This window comes from Homo sapiens, chromosome 15 (assembly GCF_000001405.40).
Source record: "Homo sapiens chromosome 15, GRCh38.p14 Primary Assembly".
NCBI lineage: Eukaryota > Metazoa > Chordata > Mammalia > Primates > Hominidae > Homo > Homo sapiens.
The window spans coordinates 99,197,607-99,214,964 of NC_000015.10; the positions used below are offsets into that span (position 1 = coordinate 99,197,607).

General features: G+C 38.2%; 1 protein-coding gene across 22 annotated transcripts in view, besides 2 other annotated features; it reads right to left on the reverse strand.

Moving 5' to 3' along the window:
* Positions 1-17,358, reverse strand: part of TTC23 (tetratricopeptide repeat domain 23) — a 114,903-nt gene that overhangs the window by 61,284 nt on the left and 36,261 nt on the right. For all 22 annotated transcript variants that reach the window (NR_109947.3, XR_007064487.1, NM_001288616.3 and 19 more), the window contains one exon: positions 2,313-2,490. Coding sequence is in view for 20 of the 22 variants with exons in the window: in NM_001288616.3 (NP_001275545.1) it covers positions 2,313-2,490 (178 nt within the window). In the remaining 2 variants the exon portion in view is untranslated. The remainder of the gene's footprint in view (positions 1-2,312; positions 2,491-17,358) is intronic.
* Positions 14,384-14,584: a silencer, noted in NCBI's record as "peak2445 fragment used in MPRA reporter construct". NCBI's record gives its function as "represses an SCP1 promoter by STARR-seq MPRAs in K562 erythroleukemia cells {active_cell/tissue: K562}" and the evidence as "EXISTENCE:reporter gene assay evidence [ECO:0000049][PMID:32103011]".
* Positions 16,664-17,164: an enhancer, noted in NCBI's record as "H3K4me1 hESC enhancer chr15:99754475-99754975 (GRCh37/hg19 assembly coordinates)". NCBI's record gives its function as "activates a minimal SCP1, AML or CMV promoter by ChIP-STARR-seq in naive H9 embryonic stem cells {active_cell/tissue: H9 hESC(naive)}" and the evidence as "EXISTENCE:reporter gene assay evidence [ECO:0000049][PMID:30033119]".

Below are 17,358 nucleotides of genomic sequence, written 5' to 3' on the forward strand. Positions count from 1 at the left end.
ATCAAAAAAGGGAGGGAGGCCAGGCGCAGTAGCTCACGTCTGTAATCCCAGCACTTTGGGAGTCCAAGGTGGGCAGATCACTTGAGGTCAGGAGTTCGAGACCAGCCTGGCCAACATGGTAAAACATCATCTCTACTAAAAATACAAAAATTAGCCAGGCATGGTGGCGGGCGCCTGTAATCCCAGCTACTCGGGAGGCTGAGGCAAGAGAATTGCTTGAACCCAGGAGGTGGAGGTTGCAGTGAGCCCAGATCATACTGCACTCCAGCCTGGGCAACAGAGCAAGACTCCGCTCAAACAAAAAAAAAAAAGAAAAAAGAAAAAAGAAAGGGACAGAGGACACTACTTTCATTTTCCCTTTTCCTCTTGTTTTCCTGGCAGTCTTTCTCTGTTTCATTTGCTAGGTAATCCTTCTTTACTTCAGCCATGAATACTGAAATTCCTCAAGAATCTGTCATCAGTTCTTTTCTCTCTCCATCAACTCTCCCTAGGTGATCTCGTCCTCTCCCAGGGCAATCACTGTGTGTAAGTGGATAACTTTCTGACCTATATTTTGAGCACCAGCCCCAATTATCTAACTGCCTATTGTCATTTCCACTTGTACGCCTCACAGGCATCTCAGGCTCATCACCTAAAACACAGCTTGCCATCTCTCCATCACCCAGTCACACACCAGTTCCCTGGTAGAAATGGCACAAATATCTACTCAGCAGTCCAGGCCAGAAACCTGGGAGTCATCTATAACTCTTCCCTTCCTTCTTTCCCCCACATCCAATCAATCTCCATGTCCTATCAATTCTGCCTCCTAAATCTTTCCTATATCCATCTACTTCTCTTCATCTCCACTATCTTCATCCTAGTTCAAGCTACCATCATTCTCAGCTTTGGCTACCTCAATAGCTTCCTAAGTGGTCTAGTTCTATGGTTGGCACAACCTCCCCAATCCATTCTCTACAAATCATCCAGAACAATCTTTCTTAAGTATTGGTTTTGAATGTGAGCATGCCATTTATTGGGTATGTACTCCTGGGCATATCACTCAACCTCTCTAATTCTTGGCTTCCTTATCTACAAATGGGAAATAATCATGTGTCACAGGGTGGTAATAATGATTAAAAGAGACAATCCAGATAAAGTGAGAAAAAGGGGCACTCTAACAAACTGTGAGTAGGAGTATAAATTGTCAGACAAATTAAAATAAGAAATATTAATGAAGTACTCTCAGGACCTTGTCACTGTATCTCACTTCAAATAACAAGAATGGATTGGTCTGTATCTTACAACTTTTACAGGAAAAAATTATCAGAAAAACTTTCTTAAAAGTGCCTTTGGCATGATACAATATAAAGACATAAAACTCACTATTATGGTTAATTTTACATGTGAACTCGGCTAGGCTATGGGGCCAGGTTGTCTGGTCAAACGCTAGTCTAGGTGTTGCAGTGAATACACGGTGTTTTGTAGATGTGATTAATATTCACAATCAACTGATTTTAAAGGAGATGACCCTGGATAATATCGGTGGCCCTCATCAAATCAGTTGAAGACCTAGAGTGAAAAACTGAGGCTTCTAGAAGAAACTCTGCTTCAAGACTGCAACATAGAAATCCTGTCTGAGTTTCCCCTGTGGATTCCAGACTTAACAGCCCCTTAATTGCATGGGTCAGTTCCTTAAGAGAGGCCGGACCTGGTGGCTCATGCCTGTAATCCCAGCAGTTTGGGAGGCTGAGGCAGGAGGATCACGTGAACCCAGGAGTTTGAAACCAGCCTGGGCAACATGATGAAACCCTGTCTCTCCAAAAAAAAAAAAAAAAAAAAAAATCTAAAACAAAAAAACCAAAGTGTGTGTGTTTGTGTGTGTGTGTGTGTGTGTACGTATCCTATTGGTTCTGTTTCTCTGGAGAACTCTGATGGACACAACACACTCACTGAGGAATCTTATAAAGTAGACTAGCAGCTAACAGACATAACTCTAGGTGGCTTCAGGTGAAGACTTTAGAATGTAGAAAAAAAGAGTCCTTATCAGTTGGGTAACATACGCTCTAAATAGATATTAAAGGATAAAGCAACCCCCTTTAGAGCATCTCAGGCTGTTTGTGGTTTGTGCAACTACTAACAGGGGACAAGTACCAGCACTTGCCCACGTGACCACCTGATAAGAACACCTTTGTTGAGCATCTACTCTAGGCCAACTGTTGTCCTTATCTAGAGCAAATGACAAAGCCAGGCATTTTCAGAGCTGCTGTGCCACTTGTGTCTATGAAAAGCATTGGGCCTAGAACAGCTTTGGTAGCCAGGACCTTGTAGCTTACCTGGAGGAAGTGGTTGATGGATACATCGTGGAGTCCCAGGGCTTGCTCTACACCTGCTAATTCTCTCAATATGGGTACACACTCACGACTTGTTTCACCTTTACTGATCTCAACATATTCCAAAGCTGCTTGATAGTGGGACAAAGCTTCTTTTGACTTCTTCTGACCTTGATACACCCTAAAAAAATCAAAGGAATTATTTTATTTAATAATTAAAATAGAAAATACTGAAAATATAGGTGAGCTGGTAGTTGGGATGTGACTCTTTGATCCCTGGTGTTCAGGTTCGTTTCCTTGCTAACTAAGCATTTCCTCCAAGAGCCAGCAGGGCATGGTGGTTAAGAAGATGGGTTCTGGAATCACCAGGAAGGTTCAAGTCCTGGCTTCACCACTGACTAGATGTACGATCTTCCAGTCACTCAGTTTCCTCATTTGTGAGTTAAGGATAACAGTGCCCACACTTCATTGGGTTATTAAGAAGATTAAATTAATTGATATTCATAAAACACCTAGAATAACCTCTAATACACAGTAAGTGCTATATGGGTAGGTATTGGTTTAAAAACTGTTAAATACTTTACAAAACAATGACAGCAACCATCAAGGAAAGGATGCTGAGATGCTAATAACTGATCTGTTGAGAAATTTTAGAAATTTCCCAGTATTGGGAAGGATGTGAAGCACTCTCATCAACTGTTGAGGAGAATATAGTTTGGGCATAAACTTTTCTATATCAAATCATACACATATATGTACACACACACGCACATACACACATACAATTTTGCGAATTCCAATTCTAGGAATTTATCTTGAAGTGATACTCTGGCAGGGCAAGAAGATATATATATAGAACATTTACCTTAGCATTCTCTATAATGGTGGAAAAGTCCAAAGCACTTAAAATGCACCAACAGGAGACTGTGCAAGCAGGTTACAGTAAGTACATCTATACTGTGGAATGCCACGTAGCCATGAAAATTAGTGCTGATCCATATTTATTGACACAGAAGTTTACCCATTCTATATACTTCAGTGAAAAGGCAGGCTACAAAATATTCTGTATATCATCTCAGGCATGTGAAAACTGTATATCTAATTTGCATGTACACATATGCACAGAAAGATGGCAAAAGCCATTGCTATGTTAGCAATACTTATCTCTAAGCTGTTAGACTGTAATTTTACATTTCATGTTTGTGCTTTTCTAAATTTCCCAAACTTCTATGAAAATGTGTTACTTTTATATCATAAAAATGCTAATTTAGAAATTATAAGTAAAGGTGGCAGTGCGAAAATATTTCTATACCTTCTTAGAATAAGAATCTCTCATATAAAAAATGTATCCTTACATATTTTTCAGCAAACACAGCACATATTTAAAAATAATCTTCTCCAGCATATTTGTTAAGACTATTAGGAACCTTTTCTTTCATGGAAAAATTTTATGTGCAAAATTTATAATCCCTCCTATGTTGCCCTCCACTCCAGAACTTTTAATACCAAAAGGCCTTGTGATTCCCAAACTGCCCAAGAGAAAGCTAAAAGACTACAAAAAATAGGTATTATTTTCACCTCAACCACTGGGTATTTTTCACACCTATTTTTGCTCTCCAGAGGAATTAACTGATAGAAGTAAAGATACTTTTCGGATCTGTGGTCCAGATGGCCACAGTGGAATAAAATGCTGATTGAACAGTTTATTAATCTGGATACCTTCTATAATTGTGAAGAGGTTTAAAAACTCAGGAAGACTTCAGGGACTAAGGAGGGCTACAGCTTGTAGAAACTCTAATCTGGGAAGGAAAAAGATTAATAGGCGACCCAGTAATACCGGTCTTCCTTTCTGTGGGCTTCCTTTCTGATGCTGAAGGAGCTTAGAATGTCGGGAGTAATCCTTAGTTTTGTAAATATCATACTTTATATTTGAAGAGAAAACCCATTAGAACCTTTGGTGATAGAAAGTCTCAGAAACATATGGTTGGTAAGAAATCATTTAGCCAAAGACTTAGATTCCGTGGTAGACAAAGCTTAAATAACTAAAAATGGGGGTCAGCAAACTATGGTGTGGGGGCCAAATCTGCTGTTTTTGTAAATAAAGTTTTATTGGCACAATGCCATGCCCATTCGTTTACATATCATCCATGGCTGCTTTTGAAATATGACAAGAGTTCATTGGTTGCCACAGAAACCATATGGCCTACAACATCTGAAATACTTATTATCTGGGCTTTTAGGGAAAAAGTTTGCTGACCTCTGGTCTAGAATCTAGAGAAAGTTACATACTTCTAAAATGATTTCAGATTTTTTTCCACCTAATTTAGCCTAGAGAACTCAGACAATGCCAGGGATATTTGAGAGAAGGAAAAAAATATTCATCTTTTTCCTCGTCATGTTCATAAAAGATGCAGTGTGCCATTGAAGTAAAGAATGGATCCTTTGTTTCCCAGACTGCCCGTAAAAGTCACAGAAGAGAAATGAAGGAAGTACAAACACCAAGATAATTTCATCTGGGCAACTGCTTTTAAAGAAAGCAGTATTTAAAGTTTAGTAATCAAGCTCATAAATGAGCAAAAAAGAAAACAATAACAAGGCATGCATTCATTGATATATAAAAAATTCCTTCTTTCCTGAGATAAGCCACTAAAGAAAAGTGTTTGGGGGTTTGTTAATAGGTGAAGACCACGGAAAACTTGTAGCCACCTACTAGCTATCTCAGCCAAAAGCACAGCATATCATCCCAAGTTAACACCAGGTCACCTTTTCAGGTCTCAAAAGTCATCCTTCAAATAATACCTGACTCCCAGAGAAAATGTTATGGAAAATAACAGAAAATGAGAGGCAGGAGAATCAGTTGTAAGTAAGCAGCAGTAGAAAACCCAAACTGTAGTCCAAGCAGCCTTGTTGACAAAGCTTCGACAAAAACAAAATGTCTTGAACCTTGGTTCCGTCATCTGAACACACTGGTTGTTGTGAGAATTGAATAAGATGTCCGTGAAAGTGCTTTGCAGACAGAAGCACATCACACAGATTAGTATTAAATGTCTACACATAATCATATCTTTTACTCTTTCTCCTCCCAACCTGCACACCATATGCAACAGCCTCAGTTTGTTCCCATGTTGAAATGGGCTCAATTGTGATCTGAGCTCCACCCCAACACCAACCACATAAGAGTTTGGAAAGTCCAAATAATAGGCAAAATCAGAGAAACTGATTGGAACTATTGTGCAAATGAGGTGGGCATTTTCTTATCCAATTGAACTTTAAAAAAACAGAATAATGTATTATAAGAATACATACTCATCACCAAAAGTAAGAACGCATAAATAAAAACAAAAGATATATAAAAGGAGGTACCATGTACACCAAAGCTCCAAGTGGATTAGAGGACAAATTTTTTTAAAAAAATTTTAAATTATTATGGATACATAATAATTGTATATATGTATGGGGTGCATGTAAAATTTTGATATAAGCACACAAAGTTAATGATCGAATCAGGGTTATAGCATACCCATCACCTCAAGCATTTATCATTTCTTTGTGTTAGGAACATGCCAGTTCCATTCTTTAATTATTTAAAAATATACAAAAAAATATTGTTAACTATAGTCAACCTATTGTATTACCAAACATTAGGTCTTATTCCCATTATTCACCTGTATTTTTATACCCAATAGTTTTCCCCTCTTCATCTCCCACTCCCTACTCCCCTTCAAAGCCTGTAGTAACCATCATTCTGCTCTCTATCTCCATGAGTTCAATTTTTCTTTTTTTTCTTTCTTTTTTTTTTAAATCTTTTTAGCTCCTACATTTGACTGAAAATGTGATATTTTCTGTGCCTGGCTTATTTCACTTAACATAATGCCCTCCAGCTCCATCCATTTTGCTGCAATTGACAGGATTTCATCCTTTTTTAATGGCTAATATTCCATTATGTATATCTACCACATTTTCTTTATCCATTCATCCACTGATTGACACTTATGTTGAGTCCTAGGTTGGCCATTGTGAATAGTGCTGCAATAAACATGAGAGTGCAGATATTTCTTTTGATATACTGATTTCCTTTTTGGGGGGTATATACTGAGTAATGAGATGGCTGGATCATATGGTAGTTTTATTATTAGTTTTCTGAGGAACTTCCACACTATTCTCCATAGTGGCTGTACTAACTTGCATTCCCACCAACAGTGTATGAGTGTCCCCCTTTCTCCACATCCTCACCAGCATCCATTACTGCCTTTTTGATAGAAGGCATTTTAATCGGGGTGCGATATCTCATTGTAGTTTTGATTTGCATTTCTGTGATCATCAGTGATGTTGAGTATTTTTTCATATACTTGTTGGTCATTTGCATGTCTTCTTTTGAGAAATGTCTATTCAGATCTTCTGCTCGTTTTAAAATCAGTTTGTCTTTTTCTATTCAGTTGTTTGAACTCCTTATTTATTCTGGTTATTAATCCCTCGACAGATGGGTAGTTTGCAAATATTTTCACACATTCTGTGGATTGTTTCTTCACTTTGTTAATTGTTTCCTTTGCTGTGCAGAAGGCCTTTTAGCTTGATGTGATCCCATTTGTCCAGTTTTGCTTTGGTTGCCTACGTTTTTGAGGTCTTCCTTAAGAAATCTTTGCCCAGACCGATTTCCTGGAGTGTTTTCTCAATATTTTCTTCCAGTAGTTTCAGAGTTTCAGTCTTAGATTTAAGGTTTTTTTTTTTTTTTTTTTTTTTAGACAGGTCTTGTTCTGTGGCCCAGGCTGGAGTGCAGTGGTGTGATCATAGCTCACTGCAGCCTCAACCTCCTGGGCTCAAATGATTCTCCCACCTTAGGCCCCAGAGTAGCTGGGACTATAGGTGCACACCACCACACACCTGGCTAATTTTGTTTGTTTGTAAAGATAGAGTTTCACCATGTTGCCCAGACTGGTCTTGAACTCCTGTGCTCAAGCAATCTTCCTGCCTTGGCCTCCCAAAGTGCTGGGACTACAGGCATGTGCCCCACTGCCTGGCCAGATTTAAGTCTTTAATGAATTTTAATTCGATTTTTGCATATAGCGAGAACTAGGGGTCTAGTTTCATTCTTATGAATATGGATATCCAGTTTTCCCAGCACCACTTGTTGAAGACACTATCTTTCTCCCAGTGTATGTTCTTGGCACCTTTGTAAAAAATGAGTTGACTGTAAATGCATGGATTTATTTCCGGGGTTTCTATTCTGTTCCATTGGTCTATGTGTCTATTTTTATGCCAGTATCATGCTGTTTTGGTGACTATAGATCTGTAGTATAGTATGAAGTCAGGTAATGTGATGCCTCCAGCTTTGGTCTTTTTGGTCAGGATTTCTTTGACTCTTTTGGGACTTTCGTGGTTCCACATAAACTTTAGGATTTTTTTTTTCTATTTCAATGAAGAATGTAATTGGCATTTTGAGAATGCATTAAATCTGTAGGTTGCTTTGGGTCGTAGGCACATTTCAACAATATTGGCACTTCCAATCCATGAACATGAAATCTTTTTGCATGTCCTCTTCATTTTCTGTCATCAATGTTTTATAGTTTTCATTGTAGAGATCTTTCACTTCTTTGGTTAAGTTTATTCTTAACTATTTTATCTTATTTATTGCTAGGTTTTTTTTTGTAGCTATTGTAAATGGCATTACTTTCTTGTTTTTTTTTTTCCAGATTGCTAGCTGTTGGCATACAGAAATGCTACTGATTTTTGTATGTTGATTTTGTATCCTGCAACTTTACTGAATTTGTTGATCAGTTCTCATAGCTTTTTGGTAGAATCTATAGGTTTTTCTGAATATAAGATCATATCATCTACAAACAAGGATAATTTGAATTCTTCCCTTCTAATTTAGATGTCATTTATTTATTTTTTCTTGCCTAACTTCTTGGGCTAAAGCTTTCTGTACTATGTTGAATAAAAATGGTAAAAGTAGGCAAGCCTGTCTTGTCCCAGATCTTAGAGGAAAGGCTTTCAGTTTTTCACTGTTCTGTATGATACTAGCTGTGGGTTTGTCATATATGGCTTTTATTACATTGTGGTATGTTCCTTTAGTAAGTTAAGTAAGTTCCTTTAAGTCCTTGTTAAGTTTTTATCATGAAGGGATGTTGAATTGTATCAAATGCCTTTTCAGCATCTATTGAAATGATCATATGGTTTTTGTCTTTCATTTTGTTGATGTGAGGTATCATATTTATGGATTTGTGTATGTTGAACCATCCTTGCATCCCTGGGATGAATTCCACTTGATCAAGATGAATGATCTTTTTAATGTGTAGTTGAATTGGGTTTGAGGATTTTGTATCCATATTCATCAGAGATATTGGCCCATAGTTTTCTTTTTTGATGTGTCTTTGTCTGGTTTTGGTATTGAGACAACGCGGACCTCATAGAATGAGTTTGGATATACTGCTTCCTCCTCAATTTTCTGAAACAGTTTATGTAGGATTGATATTAGTTCTTCTTAAAATGTGTGGTAGAATTTAGTACTGAAGCCATCAGATCTTGGGCTTTTCTTTGATGGAAGACATTCTATCAATGCTTCTATCTTGTTACTTATTGGTTTATTCAGGTTTCTGATTTCTTCATAGTTCAACTGTAACAGGTTTTATGTGTCTAGGAACTTATCCATTTATTCTAGATTTTCCAGTTTATTACATATTACATATAGTTGCTCATAATAGTCTCTAATGATCCTTTGAATTTCTGTGGTAGCAGTTGTATTGTCTCCTTTTTTGTCTCTGATTTTACTCATTTGGGTCTTCTCTCTGTTTTTCTTAGTCTAGTAAAGGTTTGTTGATTTCGTTTATCTTTTCAAAAAACAAACTTTTTGTTATATTCATCTTTTGAATTTTTTTAGTCTCAATTTTATTTATTTGTGCTTGGATTTTTATTATTTTTTTATCCGAATTTGAGGTTTAGTTTGCTCTTGATTTTCTAGTTCCTTATGACACATTGTTAGGCTGTTTATTTGAAGGTTTTCTACTTTTTGGAGGTAAGCATTTATTGCTATAAACTTCCCTCTTAGTACTGCTTTTGCTGTATTATATATGTTTTGGTATGTTATGTTTCCATTTTCATTTGTTTCAAGAAAATTTTTAATGTCCTTCTTAATTTCTTCATTGCCCCAATGGCTGTTTAGGAGTCCTAAATTTAAAAATAAAAACTTTGATATGTTTGAGAGAAAACATATGGAAAAGTAACCCTGTGTCTTTGAGTAGGGAAGGATTTCTAATATATACACAAATAAGAACAGAAAAGATAGGTAAAATTGATCATATTAAAAATAAAAACTCTTGTGCATCAAAAATCAAGGCAAACTACACATCTGAAGTACATACAATATATGTAAACAGCAAATAACTTGTTTCCAGAAATATGAAGACTATCTACCAATTTTTAAGAAAAATGCAAATAGCTCAATAGCAAATAAGCAAAACATGTGAATAGATAATTCACAGAACAAGAATTCCAAATGTCTAGCAAACATATAAAAAGATATTTAACTTCCCTATCAGAAAAATTCAATTAAAGAAACCATAAGGGCCAGGTGCGGTAGCTCATGCCTGTAATCCCAGCACTTTGGGGAGGCCGAGGCAGGTGGATCACTTGAGGTCAGGAGTTCAAGACCAGCCTGGCCACGGTGAAACCCCGTCTCTACTAAAAATACAAAAATTAGCTGGGCCTGGTGGCATGTGCCTGTAATCCCAACTACTCAGGAGGGTGAAGCATGAGAATCGCTTGAACCCGGGAGATGGAGGATGCAGTGAGCTGAGATCATGCCACTGCACTCCACCCTGGGTGACAGAGGGAGACTCTGTCTTAAATTAAATAAATAGATAAATAAACCATAAGATATAATTTTGCATCCATATAATTGAGAACTATAAGAAGCCTGAGGACGCTGAATAACAAGAATTTACACACCCTGCTGGTGGACACATAAATTGTTAGAAAGCGTTTGGTAAATCCAGTAAAATTGAAGATGCAGATGCTTGTCAAGTAAACAATTCCACTCCTGGGAATATACCTCAGAGATAATCCTGCATATGTGCCCAAAGAGACTTATATAAGCATGATCATGAAAGTAGTGTTTACAGTAGTAAAAAATTGGAAACAATTCACATGTTCACCCTCATCAAAATAGACAATTAAATTAGAGGAAAGTCAGACAATTACACACCATATGGAGGTCTAAAATGAAAAGACTAGAGCTGGATTATATCAATTGGTAGAGATATATCTCAAAAATACAGATGGGAAAAAAGGAAGTTACAGAAGGAAACATACATATAAAGTTTTAAAATATGACAAATTTTATATATATATACACACATATATATATGCTATACATATACACAGTAAAGGTACAAAAACATTCAGAGGAATGAAAAACACTAAATTTCAGCATAATAATTGCCTATAATGTATGGGAATAAAATGGTATTGGGAAGAATGCATAACAAGCTTCTATTTATCAGAAATAGATTTTGTAAGCTTAGTAGTGTGTATACTATTCTTTACACTACAGAATTTACATAATACTACATATATATGTGTCTAAAATATTTTATTAAAAAGATGAATACAACACGCAATTGCACAAAGAATGAAGCACATCCTACCCCTCACCTCCTCAGGTTGCTGTTGCAGGCTATTTCATGGTCCTGGCACTAACACAGCCAGAAATGGAGGCTATCAAGCTAATGCAACCCACAATGAGCCTTCTGAAGCTCATTGTGAGTACACTATTCACATAAAAGAAAAGGCAAAATAGAAAATAAAATTACTTTAGTTTTATATTTAATAAAAAAGGAATTGAGAGTACTACATCAAGAAATAACTAAATTATAGTCTTACATCCATCTACAACTTACTTAAAGCATCAGTCAATTTCGGGTAATCTTGTGTGTTTCCATTTTCTTATGTGTAATGTTTGAGAGCAATATTTTCTCCTTTCCATTTCTGGCTACCTGCCAGGGATGATTTGAGGATTTATTATCTAGTGTATCCACAATGTACTTGGTAGCTTAAGAAATACACTAGACAGATGAAAAGACAGAAAATTTTGAATAACAGAATGTGGCAGTATGTTAATTTGGCAGGTGCACAACTTAAGCCATGGCATATTTTATTGAATGAAAGTTTATACGCAGTAATTCTACAGAGCACAAGAGGAGACACTATCTCATTGCAGACAAGTTTCAGATCTCATAGGGATGGAGACTCGTTTTAACAAGCAATAAACAAATGCAATTTCTGGTATTACTAAGGCAACAGAGTTTCCTTTTAAAAACTCTGGAATTTGGCAAGAATATTGAGCACCAGTATAAAGGAAAGGCTTTGTGTGAATATCACTGATCAGAATCTGATGAGAAACCAATCCCAAAAGATAACAAATGGGATTTTCCATAGCCAACATGAGAAAAGAATTACATCTGGGTATCTTTTTATCACCTGATACATACAGGTAAAGGCTTTGCTCTGTTGAATGCATTGTGGGGTTTCCAGTCTACATCAGTGAATGTAATGTGTGCCATGGTCAGGAGCTTGGACACTAGCGTTGAATAAGCAGGGCTCTGCTGGGCCACTTTCCAGCTTTATCGCTTCCTGCCTGTGTGACCCTGGAAGTGACCTCACTTCTCTCAGCTTTAGATGCTACATTTGAACATGGGAATACTAACAGTATCCACTACACAGAGAGGACTAAGAATGAAAGGAGATGACATCTGTAAAGCACTTAGCAAAAGCCTGACACAGAAGGTGGTCAATAATTGGTAGCTAGTGTGGTTTTAAAAAAATCATTATTATTATATTTTTGAGAAGGGGTCTCACTCTGTCACCCAGGTTGGAGTCCAGTGGCATGATCTTTGCTCACTGCAACCTCTGCCTCCCGGTCTCAAGCAGTCCTCCTACCTCAGCCTCTGGAATAGCTGGGACTACAGGTGTATGCTACAACGCCTGGCTAATTTTTTGTATTTGTAATTATGTATTAGTTGTATTAATTTGAGACAGGGTTTTGCCATGTTGCCCAAGCTGTCTCGAACTCCTGGGCTCAAATGGTCCGCCTGCTTCGGCCTCCCAAAGTTCTGGGATTACAGGTGTAAGTCACTGTGCCCTGCCTATTATTTGATATATATTATTATATGTTGTGTTATTTATTTAGAGATATATGATTATATATTTATGTTACATATTAATACTAATAACATGTCATTTTAAAACATGATTCTATTATTTAAATCATTATTCTCATATATTTAGGAAAAGGTACATTATAAGGGTATAATGTCAGAAAAGGAAAGACAGAAATGCAGTGCTCTAAAACATTAAAGCTTTAGGAGATTCAAGAAATAGAAAGCAGATAAAGTATATGAGAGTAACCTGTGCCATGTGGTTTTTCTTTGGCTTCCCCACATTGAAAATAATAATAATAAAAACAAAAATGAGACTTGTGTAAGTTAAGAGCATATCTTCAACCACAGAAATATAGGATTAGGAAGAGTCCCAGAGAAAAAAAGCAATTTCCTTCTTTGTTAAGTAAGCAAAAAGTATTCTAGGCACATAGTGTCCCACAGGAGCAGCTGACAGGAGAAACATGTCTGCTGGAGAAGAGCAGGATGTTCTCAGGGAGCAGGCAAGGGAGAAGCAGGACTTGGAACATGTGAGCATCTGTAAGAGCCTTTATGTCCAAAAGAGAGAAGCAGAGAAAATGCAACTTAGACATCAAGGAACCTCAGGTGATGGTAAGAACTAAAAATTTTTTTAAATGCTGAGTCCAGAAAGCAAAAGTTAGATGTAGAAATTTCTGACTGGACCAATTTTGGGAGGACTATGGGATCTAAGAGCAAAGGTTATTATTGAAGTATCAAAAATTCCACTGGGAAGCATTTCTGGAGCAGCTTATGGAACTAAGTAGAACCCCATCATCTCAATGAGGTGATGGCAGGTAGATACATATTCTGTTCCCCTTGCCACATCACTTCTCCATTATTTTCTCCTCCTTCCTAGTAAGTACGAGTTAAGGGAGAAATCTTCCCCATCCCCTTTCCTTTTGGAAAACTTGTGTTAGAATAACTTTCCAAACCTCACAACTTCAATGAATCAAGAGAGAGCAAGACAAAGAAACAAAATCAAGCTTAAGGAAATAAGAATATACAGGTTGGGTGCAGTGGCTCATGCCTGTAATCCCAGCACTTTGGGAGGCCAAAACAGGTGGATCACTTGAGGTCAGGAGTTTGAGACCAGCCTGGTCAACATGGTGAAACACTGTCTCTACTAAAAATACAAAAATTAGCTGGGCGTGGTGGCACACATGTGTAATCCCAGCTACTTGGGAGGCTGAGGCAGGAGAATCGCTTGAACCTGGGAGGTGGATGTTGCAGTGAGTCAAGATCACGCCACTGCACTCCAGCCTGGGTGACAGAGAGTCTCAAAGACAAAAAACAAACAAACAAAAAAAAAGAAGAAGTAAGTATATACAATTGTCTGATTTTAGCTTAGATGATTCATGAGAGCAAAGAAAACAAAATGTAGCCTTCCCAAGGCACAGGGAAAAAATGCAGAAAAAAATTGCACACCAAGGGCAGTCTTGAAGTACAAAACCTTAATATGTGATATAAGTACCTGATTTAAAATCACCTCTGGGATGAAACAGCAGAAAGGAAAATGTTCAATTAGATCATAATGATAATTATATTGCCCTTTTCTTTCTTGCTTTCTTGCTTCTGAGGGTCTCCCATGCACCTAGATGCTTTAAAGTAATATCTTTTTAATCTTCACAGCAACCCCTGGAGGTCTTATTATTTTCACTTCAACAGGAGAGGAGAGTGAGGCTCCCAGGAAGCACAAGATCTACCCAAGTTCTACAGCTGGGAAGTTTGAACAAACACTGATTTGAACCCAGGGCTTCTGACTCCAAAGACTACATTTTTTTGTTTTTAATAGAGATGGGGATTCACCATGTTGACCAGGCTGGTCTTGAACTCCGGGCCTCAAGCGATCCTCCCATCTCAGCCTCCCAGTGTTGGGATTACAGGCATGAGCCATCATGCCGGCCCAGAGCCTACATTGTTAATGACACCATGGCACACTGCTTAGAAATACTTGGGAGGCGTCTTGTTGATGCTCTGAGGAAATAAAAGTGTTTACTCATTCCTGAGTTAGTTCAGCACAGTCATGCCAGGCAAAGTGTTCGCTGGACATGCTGTGGGAGACTTCAAGGACATGTCAAGCAGTCAGAGAGAGCTGGGGGAAAATCACATGTTCTGGAGCAATAGTCTCAATAGGTCATCATCATGCTGCATAGAAAGATAATTTAAAGAGGGATGTGTGTGTGTGTGTGTGTGTGTGTGTGTGTGCATGCATGTGCAATGGCATATGCCTGTATATACAAAGACAACTATTTCTCTCTGGGCATCTATCAATAACCAGGATAGAAAATAATTCTTAACACTGGGGATAAATTTGCCCCTTTTTGTAAGTGACTTTCTTTACCAGATTTAAAGAAATATAACTGTGCACATAAGAATACATGATTTGGATTCACTCTCCAAAGTTAACAAACCATTACTGTACGAAGTAGCACCGGAACAGAGGAGAGGAAGAAGGAGAGAAGTTTCAGGCCATAGTCAGGGATGGGAGGCATGGAGCATGAGTCACCCCGCGGCACTTATCTGTCAGCCCAGGGAGAAAGGCACTGGGCTGTTGCGATGGGCACCATAAAAGGACAGGCAGGGCAGGAAGATGATACACTAAAAGATATCCTTTTAAGAGGGACATAGGACTGAGTGCAGTGGTTCATGCCTGTAATTCTAACACTTTGGGAGGCCGAGACAGGAGGATCGCTTGAGCCCAGCCTGGGCAATATAGTAGTAAGACCCTGTCTCTACAAAAAAATAAAATTAGCTGGGTGCAGTGGCACGTGCCTGTAGTCCCAGCTAGTCAAGAGGCTGAGAGGGGAGGACTGCTTGAGCCCAGGAGGTCAAGGCTGCCGTGAGCTGTCACTGTGAAACTGTACTCCAGCCAGAGCAACAGAGTAAGACCCTATCTCAAAAAAAAAAAAAAAAAAAAAAGGGGGGGACATAAATCCAATGAGCGCTGCCTGAGAAATTATCTTGGCCTTCCACTTCCAAGACCTGGCAAAAGAAAAGGCCCTCATGGTTCAAGCTTACCTACAGAAGTGCATAAATCCAAAACACCTTGTTAATTTCTAAAGCAGATAAATTTGGACAAAATACATTTCAATAAGGAAATGAAGCAAAGTAATTGAATGAAAATTATACAGTTTAAACATGCACATTGTGGTGATTATATCAGGGTGAAGAATTAGGATGAAAAGAAGTAGCAAAGTTTGAAACAACTTGGCTAAACACAAAAGTAACTTTGTAGAATAGTCTGGAATATTAACTTAAATTCTTGTTGGCTATTCAGCCTAGATGTGTACAGGGCCCGCCATCTGCTGGCAAGGCTTGGTGTTGCTAATTTGGAAAGCACTCAGAGGAGGTGCCAGAGGATCATTTACTCTTTTTTATAGCAACACTGCTCAATGTTAAATACTGATATATTAGGTCTCAACAGATGCAACAAATATTATATCTTGGAGCTCTGAATTGTGTATTTCCTATCTTATAAGACAGAATACCTAATTTCTGGCAGGAAGGGATTCTGGACTGGTAAAGCCTTCCCAGTCACTAACAACCTTCTTCCTCCTCCAGTTATATAAATGGAATTGTACAGTATGATTCTTTTGCATCTGGCTTCTTTCACTACACATTGTGAGAGCCATTCATGCTGTTAAGCATAGGAGTAGTTTTAATCATTTTATTTATATTAACATCACATTTTTTCTGTTTTACTTTTGGTGAACATTTAGGCTGTTTCCAACTCTTGGCTATTACAAATAATGTAGCTTTGAATATTCTTGGCTATGTCTTTTGGTGAAAACATGCATGCATTTCTATTGGGTGTATAATTTAGTAGTGATACTGCTGGGTCAAAAGGTATGCAAATGTTTAAATTTAGGAGACAATGCCAAATAGTTTTCTAAAGTAGTTACACCAAATATATTTGAAACAATGGTATATGAGAGAGCATATCAGAGAATCACATCCTTCCAAATGTTTGCTATTAGTAGTCTTAAAATTTTTTTAGCCATTCTAGTGGGAATGTAAGAGTATCTTATTTATTTATTTATTTAAAGAGACAGAGTTTTGCTTTGTCATCCAGGCTGGAGTGCAGTGGTGTTGCACAGCTCACTGCAAACTCAAATTCCTGGGCTCAAGAGATCCTCCCGGCCGGGTGCGGTGGCTCACGCCTGTAATCCCAGCACTTTGGGAGGCCGAGGTGGGCACATCACAAGGTCAAGAGATCGAGACCATCCTGGCTAACACGGTGAAACACCGTCTCTACTAAAAAATACAAAAAATTAGCCAGGCGTGGTGGTGGGTGCCTGTAGTCCCCACTACTCGGGAGCTGAGGCAGGAGAATGGCGTGAACCCGGGAAGGTAGAACTTGCAGTGAGCCGAGATCGCGCCATTGCACTCCAGCCTGGGTGACAGAGTGAGACTGCATCTCAAAAAAAAAAAAAAAAAAAGAGATCCTCCCACCTCAGTCTCCTGAGTAGCTAGGACTATAGGTGAGCACCACCACACTTGGATAAATTAAAAAATATTTTTGTAGAGATGGGGGTCTCCCCATCTTGCCTAGGCTGGTCTTGAGCTCCAGGGCTCAAGCTATTCTTCCACCTCAGCCTCTCAAAGCGCTGGGATTACAGGTGTGAGCCACCACACCCAGCCATATCTTATGATTCTAGTTTTCATTTTCTGATAACTGATAAGGTGGAACACCTTTTGATAGGTTTATTTGCTATGCGGGTGTTCTTTTTTTGGGAAAAGTTTCCTGCCCATCTTTCTTTTCTCCTTTTTTTTTTTTTTTTTTTTGAGATGGAGTTTCTCTCTTGTTGCCCAGGCTGGAGTGCAATGGCGCGATCTTGGCTCACAGCAACCTCTGCCTCTCGGGTTCAAGCAATTCT